The sequence below is a fragment of the Homo sapiens genome, chromosome 5 (assembly GCF_000001405.40).
Source record: "Homo sapiens chromosome 5, GRCh38.p14 Primary Assembly".
NCBI classification, from domain to species: Eukaryota; Metazoa; Chordata; class Mammalia; order Primates; family Hominidae; genus Homo; species Homo sapiens.
In genome coordinates this window covers 123,353,331-123,365,413 of record NC_000005.10, presented here as the reverse complement: position 1 = coordinate 123,365,413, position 12,083 = coordinate 123,353,331, and the positions used below count along the sequence as shown (strand labels likewise).

The 12,083-nt window shown below is 34.0% G+C and overlaps 1 protein-coding gene across 11 annotated transcripts in view; it reads left to right on the top strand.

The window, feature by feature from the left end:
* Window positions 1-12,083, top strand: part of CEP120 (centrosomal protein 120) — a 78,951-nt gene that overhangs the window by 58,429 nt on the left and 8,439 nt on the right. For 10 of the 11 annotated variants that reach the window (NM_001166226.2, NM_153223.4, NM_001375408.1 and 7 more), the window contains one exon: window positions 820-918. In NM_001166226.2, coding sequence (NP_001159698.1) covers window positions 820-918 — 99 coding nt within the window. Of the gene's footprint in view, window positions 1-819; window positions 919-6,968; window positions 7,163-12,083 lie in introns of all 11 variants that reach the window. The other variant, NR_164685.1, reaches the window with a different exon arrangement.

Sequence of the window (12,083 nt, the reverse complement as noted above, 5' to 3'; positions counted from 1 at the left end):
TATTACATTATCACTTAATAGTAAAACTGTCTGTTGGCTACATGAATTTGTTTGGTACTTGGTTTGAAACACTGAGTACATTCCAAAACATAGCCAAGTTGGCTTCAGTTCATGTACAACAGATTGCCTGCTGCAAGTATAAATAATCATATTTTTTAATTGAATCACTTTAGTGTTTTCTTTATATATTTGAGGAAAAATAGAAAATAGAATGTGTGTTATTAAGGAACATTATTTTTCTTACTCTTGGCTTTATGTTAACATTCTTAAAATATTTTTGACTTTGTACTCTTTCTTAGTAAACTGCTTTCTGATAAAACATTTCAGTGTTTTCAGAGTTTCATGATTTTGCCAAAATATAGTTATAAAAGCATCTCTACTGGCTGTCTTCATAAGACAAAATTCCATATGAAGATAGGCCTCCAAAAAGAAAATTTGGCTTCTAAGATTTAGAGTTACAGCTAAATTGGAATGTTAACAGTTAGAACTGCTTTTTGTAAAAAATGAATGTATTTCTCACTCTATGATCTTTATATAATATATATGTTTAAATACATTTATAGTAACTGTCTGGAGGTTAAGACTAATTCAGTTCTTTTTAGGATAGACTGTTAGGCAATAAAAATAAGACTATATTTTAAACAAGAAAATGTTCATGTGCCATAATATTTATAGTAAATTATATAACAGTTTTAGATGATGTCGTATGTTACACTGTATAAACTCTTTTCTTAAGCCAGACTCTTTGTATATATTATCTTTCAGTGGTTGTACACAGTGGTATAGTGTTTCACTTGATATGATTTTAATCACTGTTAGGTTGAACTTGAAAGAAAGTTGGAATCTGCAACTAAGTCTAAACTGCATTACAAGCAGCAGTGGGGACGAGCTTTGAAAGAACTTGCCAGACTTAAACAGGTATGTAGTTTATAGCTTATTCTTTTTATATCTTTTTCCCTTGTTTCTTTGCAAATTCGTATGTTTGGCAATATCTGTTATGCTCTGATGTCTGCATTTGAATATTGCTATTTTTTGAGATTAGAGGCTTTTATAAAAATATGTTATAAAGGCAAGATCCTTCTTTTTTATAGTTAGAAACTGAAACAATTATGTCTTTTAAAAAAAATTGCCAGCTATCCCTTTCCTCAGAAGAAACTGGGAATAATTTATTTTACTTTCACTTATAAAACAACCACCCTTTTCTTTCTTAGGATTAAACTTTCCACTGGGAGTGCTTTTTAGGATGAAATTTAAGGATAACTTGAACATTTTCTCAAGTTTAAGAATATATTTTAAATGTTATTCTTAAGACACAGTAATTCAGTCAAGAAAGGGAATTATTGGGAATTTTTGCATGATTTTTAAAGTGTTTAAAAACTTTGATAGAAGTTTTCTGAATTATTATATTTTTTTCTTTCCTGCTACCAATCAACAAATGCTGTTAGCTTCAGAAGAAATTAATCTTAATTTTGGACACATTTGATCTTAATCATTTGAAGAAATTATGAATAAGATTTTTATTTTGAATCTAACCCTAACTGACCTAAATCTTTTAAAGATTAATAATGGTTAGTTTATTCTAAGTTCACTTTTCTTTAATGTGTCAGTTTTATTCTGAATGAAATTTCACACATAGGGTCTTTCAGGTTTGTATTTTTCTTAATATGTCTCCATAACTGTCAAATACTATTAAACATCGTTATGGTATTATACTAAATGCTTACCACTTTCATGGAGTACTACCAGTCTACATGAGAATTAAAAACTAGGGTAGGTAGTTTACCCTAACATAAATGATAGAGGAGTTGGGATTGTAAGCATTACAAATGAAGACAGGTAGATATATATGTAAATATAAAATAATGTACCATGTGACTATATTATATAAATGTTGACAGGACTAAGGATAGACATGGGTAGTACTAAGAGTCTCCTGTATTGAAAGCAGTGTCTTACATGTACAATAAGTATAAAATAATATTATACCAGGTGTAAATATATGCAAGACATAGGCCTTTCCATCACAGAGCTTGCAATTTAGTAATAAGGAAGAAACAACTATAAATATAAAATTTACTGCCTAATAGTAAGAGCCTTGACACAGGCCATATAGAGTACTCAGGAGGAGAAAGTACGTCTATTTAATAGGAGTTGGAAAGGTGTCATAGGAGAGGAGGTATTTGTGATAGACCTCTGGAGATAGATACTTAAGATTTTAATAGAGGAATTGGTTGTGATTTAGGAAAGTAGTGGGGGAAATGTAAATATAATGAACAGAATGATCATAGCAAAGAGGCATGAAGTGGGAAAGCATAGGCTGTTCTTATAAAACAGAGGAGGGCCCGTTTTCTAAGTCATTTCTGGTAATAAGGGCTGGAACTTAAGTAGTAGCAGTAGGAATGCAACAAGAAGATTCTTGTCAAAGATGATGCCAAGGGCTCAAGCTTCAGTGTCTGGTCCAGTTTTGGAAATACAGTTACTAAAAAGCTGTTTGGAGGGTGGGAAGGAGATAGGATTTGCAAATTTGGATGTTTTAATTTTTACAGAATGAAATTCGGCTACCAGTTAGAAATATGGATCTGTTGTTGGGAGAATGATTGGGCTTAAAAATAGACATAAAGGAGTCCTTTGCAGAGGTAGTGTTTAAAGTTGTGCCAGCTAGAACTTGGAATTCTTATGTTTAGGAAAGAGAAAAGAAAGCTAATGAAGGAAATAACAGCTAGAGAAAATGTGAAGATCACTATGATGATACTGTTAGAGCAATTAGCATGTCTGGAAGGCTTACTTTGTGCTAGGTGTAACACTGAGCCCTTCAGAATTTATCATTTAATCCTGACAAAGATCCCTACATAGCAGGTAATATTCCCATTTTATTAGGTAGGTGCAAAAGTGAAAGCGGCAAAAACCGCAGTTACTTTTGCACCAACCTAATGAAGAAACTGAGACTTAAAGAAGTTAAGTTGCATGTGATCACATAGGTACTAAGTGATAGACCCAGCATTGAAAGCTTTTGATGAATCCAGCCTCAGGCTCTTTCCCTTTTATGATATGGTCTTAGTCCATTGAAGTCAAGGAATGAAATAATTTCTAGGAGAAGAAAATTAGCCACTCTGACGAGAGTACTGAGGTAGGGGTCATCGTGAGTTGGTATATCCTAAGAAGGAAAATGCCATCATTGACAAGAGAGACCAGGTCTGGTAATGAGAATTAAAGTGATTTTGAGAGAGAAGCAGCTAATATATGGTTATGATGCCAAGATATTTAAGTGCATGTAGTATAATAGAGAGGAGTCCCTGTGGAATTGGGGCCAAGGAAATATGAAGAGAATGGCTGTTAAAGGTAACAAGATATAAACTCCATCAGAAGCAGCATAAATAGTAGAAAGGTAACAAGATATAAACTCCATCAGAAGCAGCATAAATAGTAGTTAAGAACATGGCCCTGGAGTCAAGAGAGCTAGGTTGAATTTTGGTTCTACCTCTCTGACTTTGGGAATTTCTCTGATTAGTTTCTTCATTTGAACAATGAGAAATTTTCTTCCACAGGTTATTCTGAGAATTAAATGAGTGGTTTTAAAGTGTTTAATACAGTGTTTGATACATAGTATGTGCTCAGTAAATGGTAAGTAACTTGCTAAAAAGAGATGAGCCATAAAGCTGTTCTGTGGTGGTGGTGCGTTCAGTCAGTGGGGACCTAATTGGACAGTAGCTTTCGATATTGATGAACAGAACAAATACTAGAGGGCTTTGTGACTGACAGAATTCTTAAGTGTGCATAATTGGGGGATATTGTTATGCAGTGATAGACGTTCTGTAGAAAACTGTACAGAAGCAAAAAGTATGTAAGGGCTAAATGTACAGATGTGCAAGAGTGTCAGTAGGTAAACTTCCCAAGTTTGAGTATAAAGGAATGTGAGTACATTGAGATGAAGAAACATCTGTAGTTACTTCATTCTTTCATTCATTCAGCAAGTGCTTATTGAGAGCCTGCTATGCACCTTGCACAATGGGCTGCTATGGATATAGCAGTTGTTCACCTAGGAGGACTGATACTTAGAATATAGCAGGGTGGTAAGAAATGTAAATGAAGTCAGCAAGTATTAGAAAAACAAAGGGACCACTGGGGGCTATCACCACATTTGTCACTCAAAGCTAAGGGAGAAATATCTCAAAGAGAAAATGATTCAAATAACACTACTGGATAGGAAATCATTTCAAGTTTTTAACTGGAGAGTAGATGGGGAAGAAGTGGAAAATAGTGCTTCCATTGAAGAAGCTGAGCAGTGAACAGTCATTACACATTACCCAAATCAGCTGAAAAGGGGAACAGTGTTAGCTATTGGTTAGGGCATTTTCTCTGGAGAATTGAATAATCATTAATTATTGAAACAATGTCATTATAATTGACATGTTTTTTATTGAGAAGTATCTATGCAAGAACTTTTTACTTTGTCATGTTCATATGTGTATATTATAGATTACATTCTTTAAGTTTTTCACCATTTGAGGTAGTTTCAAAAAAATAATATAAGTAAACAGTGTTCTGAATAGAATCCCCCAAATTCCTGACTTTTGGTTAGTTTTACACTGGGGTATTGAAGTAGTCTCCTTTAAAAGAAGATTCAGTGTGAAAGGCTCCACTGCAAGAATCCCTCCTTCCTAACACACGCATCCTCATACACTTTTCTTATCTGCTGGATCTTTTTTCCATTTAATCCATTTTCTATTTAACCTTCTTCTTTTGTATTTCCTACCCTCTTGCCCAAAAAGCATTGCAAAGTAATTTTAGCTATTTTATTCAAATAAGGAGAATATCACAAACATTCAGATACCTTTTGTAAAGAAAAGGAAAAAAAAAGTTTTAAATTACTGGTTCAATTCTGAAACTTATACTCCATGAAAGAAAAGTTCTTTGAGTGCAGAGATGCTCATTGCTTTTTCATTGCAAACCAATTTTAATCCTTATCCCACAAACTTTCTGCTTTAGAGGCAACACTGTAAACACATTTTGAGGTCACTAGGAATCATTGATGTTCTGCAGACTACACTGAGATGCAACACTTTAAGAAGAAAAGTAATAGACCTTGGGATTATCATAGTGAATTGTGCTCTGCCCCTGACTGTTTTAGTAAGATTAAAATTAATAACTTCATCAAATAGGCACATTTCATGTGTGTGAAAATTACTCAATTTCTTTTCCTTAAACTTTTTATTAAAAACACATTTATTGTGCTTGAATGTAATTTTGGAATCGTCTATCTGGTTTTGTTCAGAAGATTGTTTGTGCAACTTCTTGTTTAAATTGGATTAGTACCATGTTAATTTTACATTGCCTCTGGTGAATAGCCACGGGGCTGTAATCTCTGCCAGTAATTTGTCACATCAAAACCCTCTGGAGGGCCATACAAAACATTTGTGTAGTACGGATTAGATGGTGAAAGCCATATCTTAGATTGTTAATAAATGTTAATGACAAAACCCAGCTGGTAAAGCTTGGAAATAAGACCTAATGCTTGGTGCCCATTGCCAGAAGAATGTTTAAACAGAGATTTCCATTACTCAAAGGTGACCCAGGATAGTCTATTTGTGAATTAAAAATATAACCTAATTATTTTATAACCTTCTAATTATTTAGAAAAAAATCTTTTCTTTTGATTCACAACCGTACCAGTGGTAAGCTTTTTTGTTCTTTGGTAACTGGGAAGGCAACAGCTGTAAAATATAAATAAGCATAACATAAAATGAGTCCTGATTTAGAAAACGAGGAAGTGATACCCTTAAGTTTGATATCATGGGACAAAGTTAAAAGTTCTACTTGTTAGACTTGTAAGAGGTAATTTAGTTTGCTTTTTTTCTTCTTCAAGATATACTATAGAAATATTTTAAAACCAAAACAAATACTTGAATTGCATTGGTCTACAAATACTCAAGTGAAGTTGTCTGCTTTCCTACTTGTGCTCTAAACAACATATTTGCATATTTACTTAAAAACGTTTCTTGACATCTTAGAATATCATTAAGCAGAATAAAACCTACTTTTTAAAAAATAAATGAAGCATTGTTATGAAGTATGAGTTTGTTGTAGACAATTTAACATTTTTATGTCAGATATATTCAGAGTAGGTATGTTTGTTCCCAGGACAGGAAAGAGAATTAATGTTTTGGGAAGGATTGTGGGTCCCTTACCATATTTGTGCACAGTAGATCTGTTTAAAACTGAGCTGATATATTTAGTTAAAACAACACAGACTTCATTGGCTGACATCAGCACTATCTTGTCCAGCCTCCTGCTTATCCACTCTGAGTAATTAATTTGATTAATTTATAAGTAATTTAGCCAAGCATGGGATGTAAATCTTTGTTTAAGAAAACAGTTGGAGGTCCAAGTCTTGGTTAAAAACTGTGTCTTGAAACCATCCAGGCCCTCCTACTGACTTGTCAGCTCTGGGTTATTTTCAGAAAACTTTACTTGAGTTCCTTAGTTTAGTTGTAAGTTTTTTCCCACAGACTTACATGGTATGTGTGAGTGGGAGAGTAAGTAGTGGCCACTTTTTAGCCGCTGTTTAGTCTAGTGTATGTATGTTTACATCTCCTTTCTGGATTTATAGGCAGCCAAGGCAAAATAAAGATTATACTCACTTGATTGAGGAGCCTTTAACCCAGAGCACCTGGCACTGGAGAGGACTTCTTTCACTACCCTCTAACTTGTGTGTGTGTGTGATTATTATTAATGCCCTATACTTGATTAAAAATTCAAAGCATTTAAAGGATTTTCTTACGTTTTAGAAAATGTTAAAATTTATCAAAAACTTACTTTTATAGAGTAATCTAAAGCTAATAATCAACTTTTATTACTTATTTCCTGCTTGCAGTCATATTTACTCATTGTAAAAATTTTTTAAAAAGCCAATTTGCAGCACCATATAACATAGACACTACAGATCACCAGCAATCTTATCCTCTCCTCAGCCAAAGAAGACAGTTTGGTGTATTTTTGTCCAGATATGTTTTTCTTTTTAAATAACTTTAAAATGAAATATACATTTCAAAGAAGGTTCTTCTACTCTTTCCACCTGCCTCCTGGTTTAAGAAACAGAGCATTATGATGAATGCTTTGGAAGCCCTCTGTGTCCCTTTCTCAACTGTGTCTTCTCTTTCCAGAGGTAACCACTATCCTGAATTTGATATTTATTATTCCTTTGCTTTTTGTCATAATTTTGTAACATAAGATATATTAAAAGTCTTTTTGCAAACAACATTGCTTAGTTTTGTATGTTTTGAACCTTTATATACATAGAGTCATTCTCTATAAATATTGCACAATTTTATCCAGGATAAGAGAACACTGAATGTGTTAGTACCTGTAAGAGTTTCAGTAGTATTTATAGCTAAAAAGAGAATTTCTGGTACTAGGGGACATTCATTTCTTCAGCTTCACTAAATATTACATAATTATCTTTAAAGTGGTTATACTAATTTATAATTCCCAGTAGTAGCATATAATTGTTCTTGTCCTTCACATTTTTGCCAATAATTGGCTATTGTCAGATGTCTTAAATTTTTCAGTTTGGTTGGCCCCAAGTAGTGTCACATTGGGACTTACTTACATTTTCATTCCTCTAGTTACTAATAACTTTGAGCATCTTTTCCTACGTTTGCTTTTCAAACAAGGTCTGTCACCCAAGTTGGAGGGCAGTGGTGTATTCACAGTTCACTGCAGCCTCGACCTCCTAGGCTCAGGTCATCCACCTCAGCCTCCCAAGTATCTGGGACTACAGGTGCACGTCACCATGCCTGGCTAATTTTTGTAAAGACAGGGTTTTGCCACGCCACTTACATTTCTTCATCTGTGGAGTGCCTGTTTATGTCTTGTGCTCATTACAAATTAATCAACAAGTGTAATTCAGATTTTGGAATATCAGACAAGAAGTTTGAAATACTACCATTATTATACTCTAGAAAATAGGTGATATGATGAAGAAATGTATTAGAGAAGTGGTATATTTTGAGACTATCTTATGTGTAATTGGAGAAAGAATGGGGAGAAAGCAATATTTAAAGAGATACTGGCTAAGAATTTTCCAAAAGTAAAAAAGATATCACTTCATAGATTCAAAAATATCTATGAACTGCAAGCAGGATAAATACAAAGTAAGCCTACCTAGATGCATCACAGCAAAATTGACAAAAAGCAAAGAAAAACCTTAAAAGCTGTTGCAGGCAGGGGTGGACAGATACATTGCCTTCAAAGGAGCAATGATAAGACTGACAGATGACTTTTTAACAAAAATAAAGAAATTTGTAAGACAGTAAAATAGCATCCCTAAAGTACTAAAGAAAACGATTGCTGAACTAAAATTTTGTTACCCAGTAAAAGCATTATTTACAAATGAAAGACTTCAGACTGACAAAAATTGGCAGAATTTGTCATGGCAAATCTGAAGCAAAAGAAATACCTGGGTTCTTCAGGCAGAAGAAGAATGATCCCAAATGAAAGCTTTGAAATGCAGAAAAGTAAAGAACAATGGAAATTAAATATCAGGCTAACTGTAAATGGATATTGGTTGTAGGAAAACAACAATAACAGTATTTGTTGACTTTAAAATATACATAGAATTAAAATTTATGACAAAAATAGTGCAAAAATACAAAGAGAGAGAGTGAAATGTTTAAAGTATGTTGCATTATCTGAAGTTGAAAGGGTCCTAATTAGGTTCTGTTAATTGAGGGATACATATTTCTAAAAAAAAGAGTTAAAAATGATTTAGTAACAAGATTGAGGGTGAAAACTGAATGACAAATTATTTGATTAAAAGGAGAGAGAAGAAGGAACATAAAATAGGTGGAATGAATAGAAAATCATAAGATGGAAAGATTTAAATCTATATCAGCAAATGCTTTAAGTGGACCAAATGCTCCCATTAAAGACAGATATTTAAAAGCTGAATTTTAAAAAGCTAACAATATGCTTTGTAAGAGGTACACCTTAAATATAAGAACATAGGATGGGCAGTATGGCCATTTTCACGATATTGATTCTTCCTACCCATGAGCATGGAATGTTCAATGCCATTGCCATCAAGCTACCAATGACTTTCTTCACAGAATTGGAAAAAACTACTTTAAAGTTCATATGGAACCAAAAAAGAGCCTGCATTGCCAAGTCAATCCTAAGCCAAAAGAACAAAGCTGGAGGCATCATGCTACCTGACTTCAAACTATACTACAAGGCTACAGTAACCAAAACAGCATGGTACTACTGGTACCAAAACAGAGATATAGACCAATGGAACAGAACAGAGCCCTCAGAAATAATGCCGCATATCTACAACTATCTGATCTTTGACAAACCTGACAAAAACAGGAAATGGGGAAAGGATTCCCTATTTAATAAATGGTGCTGGGAGAACTGGCTAGCCATATGTAGAAAGCTGAAACTGGATCCCTTCCTTACACCTTATACAAAAATTAATTCAAGATGGATTAAAGACTTACATGTTAGACCTAAAACCATAAAAACCCCAGAAGAAAACCTAGGTAATACCATTCAGGACAGAGGCATGGGCAAGGACTTCATGTCTAAAACACCAAAAGCAATGGCAACAAAAGCCAAAATTGACAAATGGGATCTAATTAAAGAGCTTCTGCACAGCAAAAGAAACTACCATCAGAGTGAACAGGCAACCTACAGAATGGGAGAAAATTTTTGCAACCTACTCATCTGACAAAGGGCTAATATCCAGAATCTACAATGAACTCAAACAAATTTACAAGAAAAAAACAACCCCATCAAAAAGTGGGCGAAGGATATGAACAGACACTTCCCAAAAGAAGACATTTATGCAGTCAAAAAACACATGAAAAAATGCTCATCATCACTGGCCATCAGAGAAACGCAAATCAAAGCCACAATGAGATACTATCTCACACCAGTTAGAATGGCGATCATTAAAAAGTCAGGAAACAACAAGTGCTGGAGAGGATATGGAGAAATAGGAACACTTTTACACTGTTGGTGGGACTGTAAACTAGTTCATCCATTGTGGAAGTCAGTGTGGTGATTCCTCAGGGATCTGGAACTAGAAATACCATTTGACCCAGCCATCCCCTTACTGGGTATATACCCAAAGGATTATAAATCATGCTGCTATAAAGACATATGCACACGTATGTTTCTTGTGGCACTATTCACAATAGCAAAGACTTGGAACCAACCCAAATGTCCAACAACGATAGACTGGATTAAGAAAATATGGCGCATATACACCATGGAATACTATGCAGCCATAAAAAATGATGAGTTCATGTCCCTTGTAGGGACATGGATGAAACTGGAAACCATCATTCTCAGCAAACTATTGCAAGGACAAAAAACCAAACACCGCATGTTCTCACTCATAGGTGGGAATTGAACAATGAGAACACATGGACACAGGAAGGGGGACATCACACTTTGGGGACTGTTGTGGGGTGGGGGGAGTGGGGAGGGATAGCATTAGGAGATATACCTAATGCTAAATGACGAGTTAATGGGTGCAGCACACCAACATGGCACATGTATACATATATAACAAACTTGCATGTTGTGCACATGTACCCTAGAACTTAAAGTATAATAAAAATATATTTAAAAAAAAAACATAGGATGGTTGAATTCTAACAGAAGGAAAATATATACTACAATAATACTAAGTAAGAGAAAGCTGGTCTAGCGATACTTAATATTAGGCAAACCAGACTTATAGGGCGAGAGGCATTTTACTGTAGGTAAAGGGAGTTTTCATAGTTATAAAAGGGGGTTAATCCACCTGGAAGATGACAACAGTTCTACATTTGTACCTGGTAACACAGCAACAAATTAGATAAAAAAAATTAATAGAGCTAAAAAGAGAAATAGGTAAATCTATAATGATAGAAGATTTTACCATAACTCTCCTGAGAACTGATGGTGCAAACAGACCGAAAATAAGTAATAATGTAGAAGATTTGGGCAACACAACTAACCATTGGTATATTCTAGAACACTTCATCAAAAAAGTCCAGAATGTACACTATTTTCTAGTGCACATGGAACATTTAGCGAAGTTGCTTATATGTTGGATTAAACTACAATTCTCAACACATTCCAGAAGATTGTAATTTAGAATATGTTCTCTGACCACAGTGATATTTAGCTAGAAATAAAAAGATAATAAGAAATGTCCCCAAATGAGTGAATATTAAGTAGTATACTTCTCGTAACCCATGGTAAACTGGAGACCACAGTAAAATTAGAAAATACTTTGAACTGAAAAATAGTGCACATAAAACACATCAAAGTGTGGGATTTAGTGAAAGCTGTGCTTAGAGGGAAATGTATAACCACAGTTGTGTTTAGAAAATAAGACAATAAATCTGCTCTCTAAATATTCCTTTCAAAAACTCAGTAGAACAAGAAGAAAGTAAAATGGGAGCAAGGAAATAAGATGAATAGAATTAATGAAATGGGGGAAAATGTACAAGAAAAATCAATGAAGCCAAAAGTCATGTCTTTGAAAGGACCCCAACCCCGCCTTAGCAAGTATTCAAGGACAAGAATAGACAGTAACTACCCATATCAGGAATTGAAAAAAGAGACAAGACTATAGATCTCAAAGACATTTACAGAGATAAGAGGATAGTATGAACAATTTCATGTGAATTTGAAAGAAGAACTTCCAAAACTGATACACCAAGAAACAGAAAATAGAAATAGTCTTATAGCTATTAGAGAAATTGAATCTAATAAAAAACCTGCCCACAAAGAAGGCTCCAGACCCATATGTCTTCACATTTGAATTTTAGTAAACATTTTAGGAAGAAATAACACTAATCTTACACAAAGATTTTAGAAAATGGGAAGTGAAAAATGCTTACTTTTTTTTTAATGAGACTAGCATAACCTTGATCCTAAAAGCTTACAAGGACAAAATTAATTGGCCAGTCTTTTAAAACATTAAAGATACAAGTTTAAGATATTAAACTTGTAAGCATCACAACGAAGTTTATTTACTAAACAAATGCAAGCTTGGTTATTTACCACATTCAAAGATTAAAGGAGAAAAA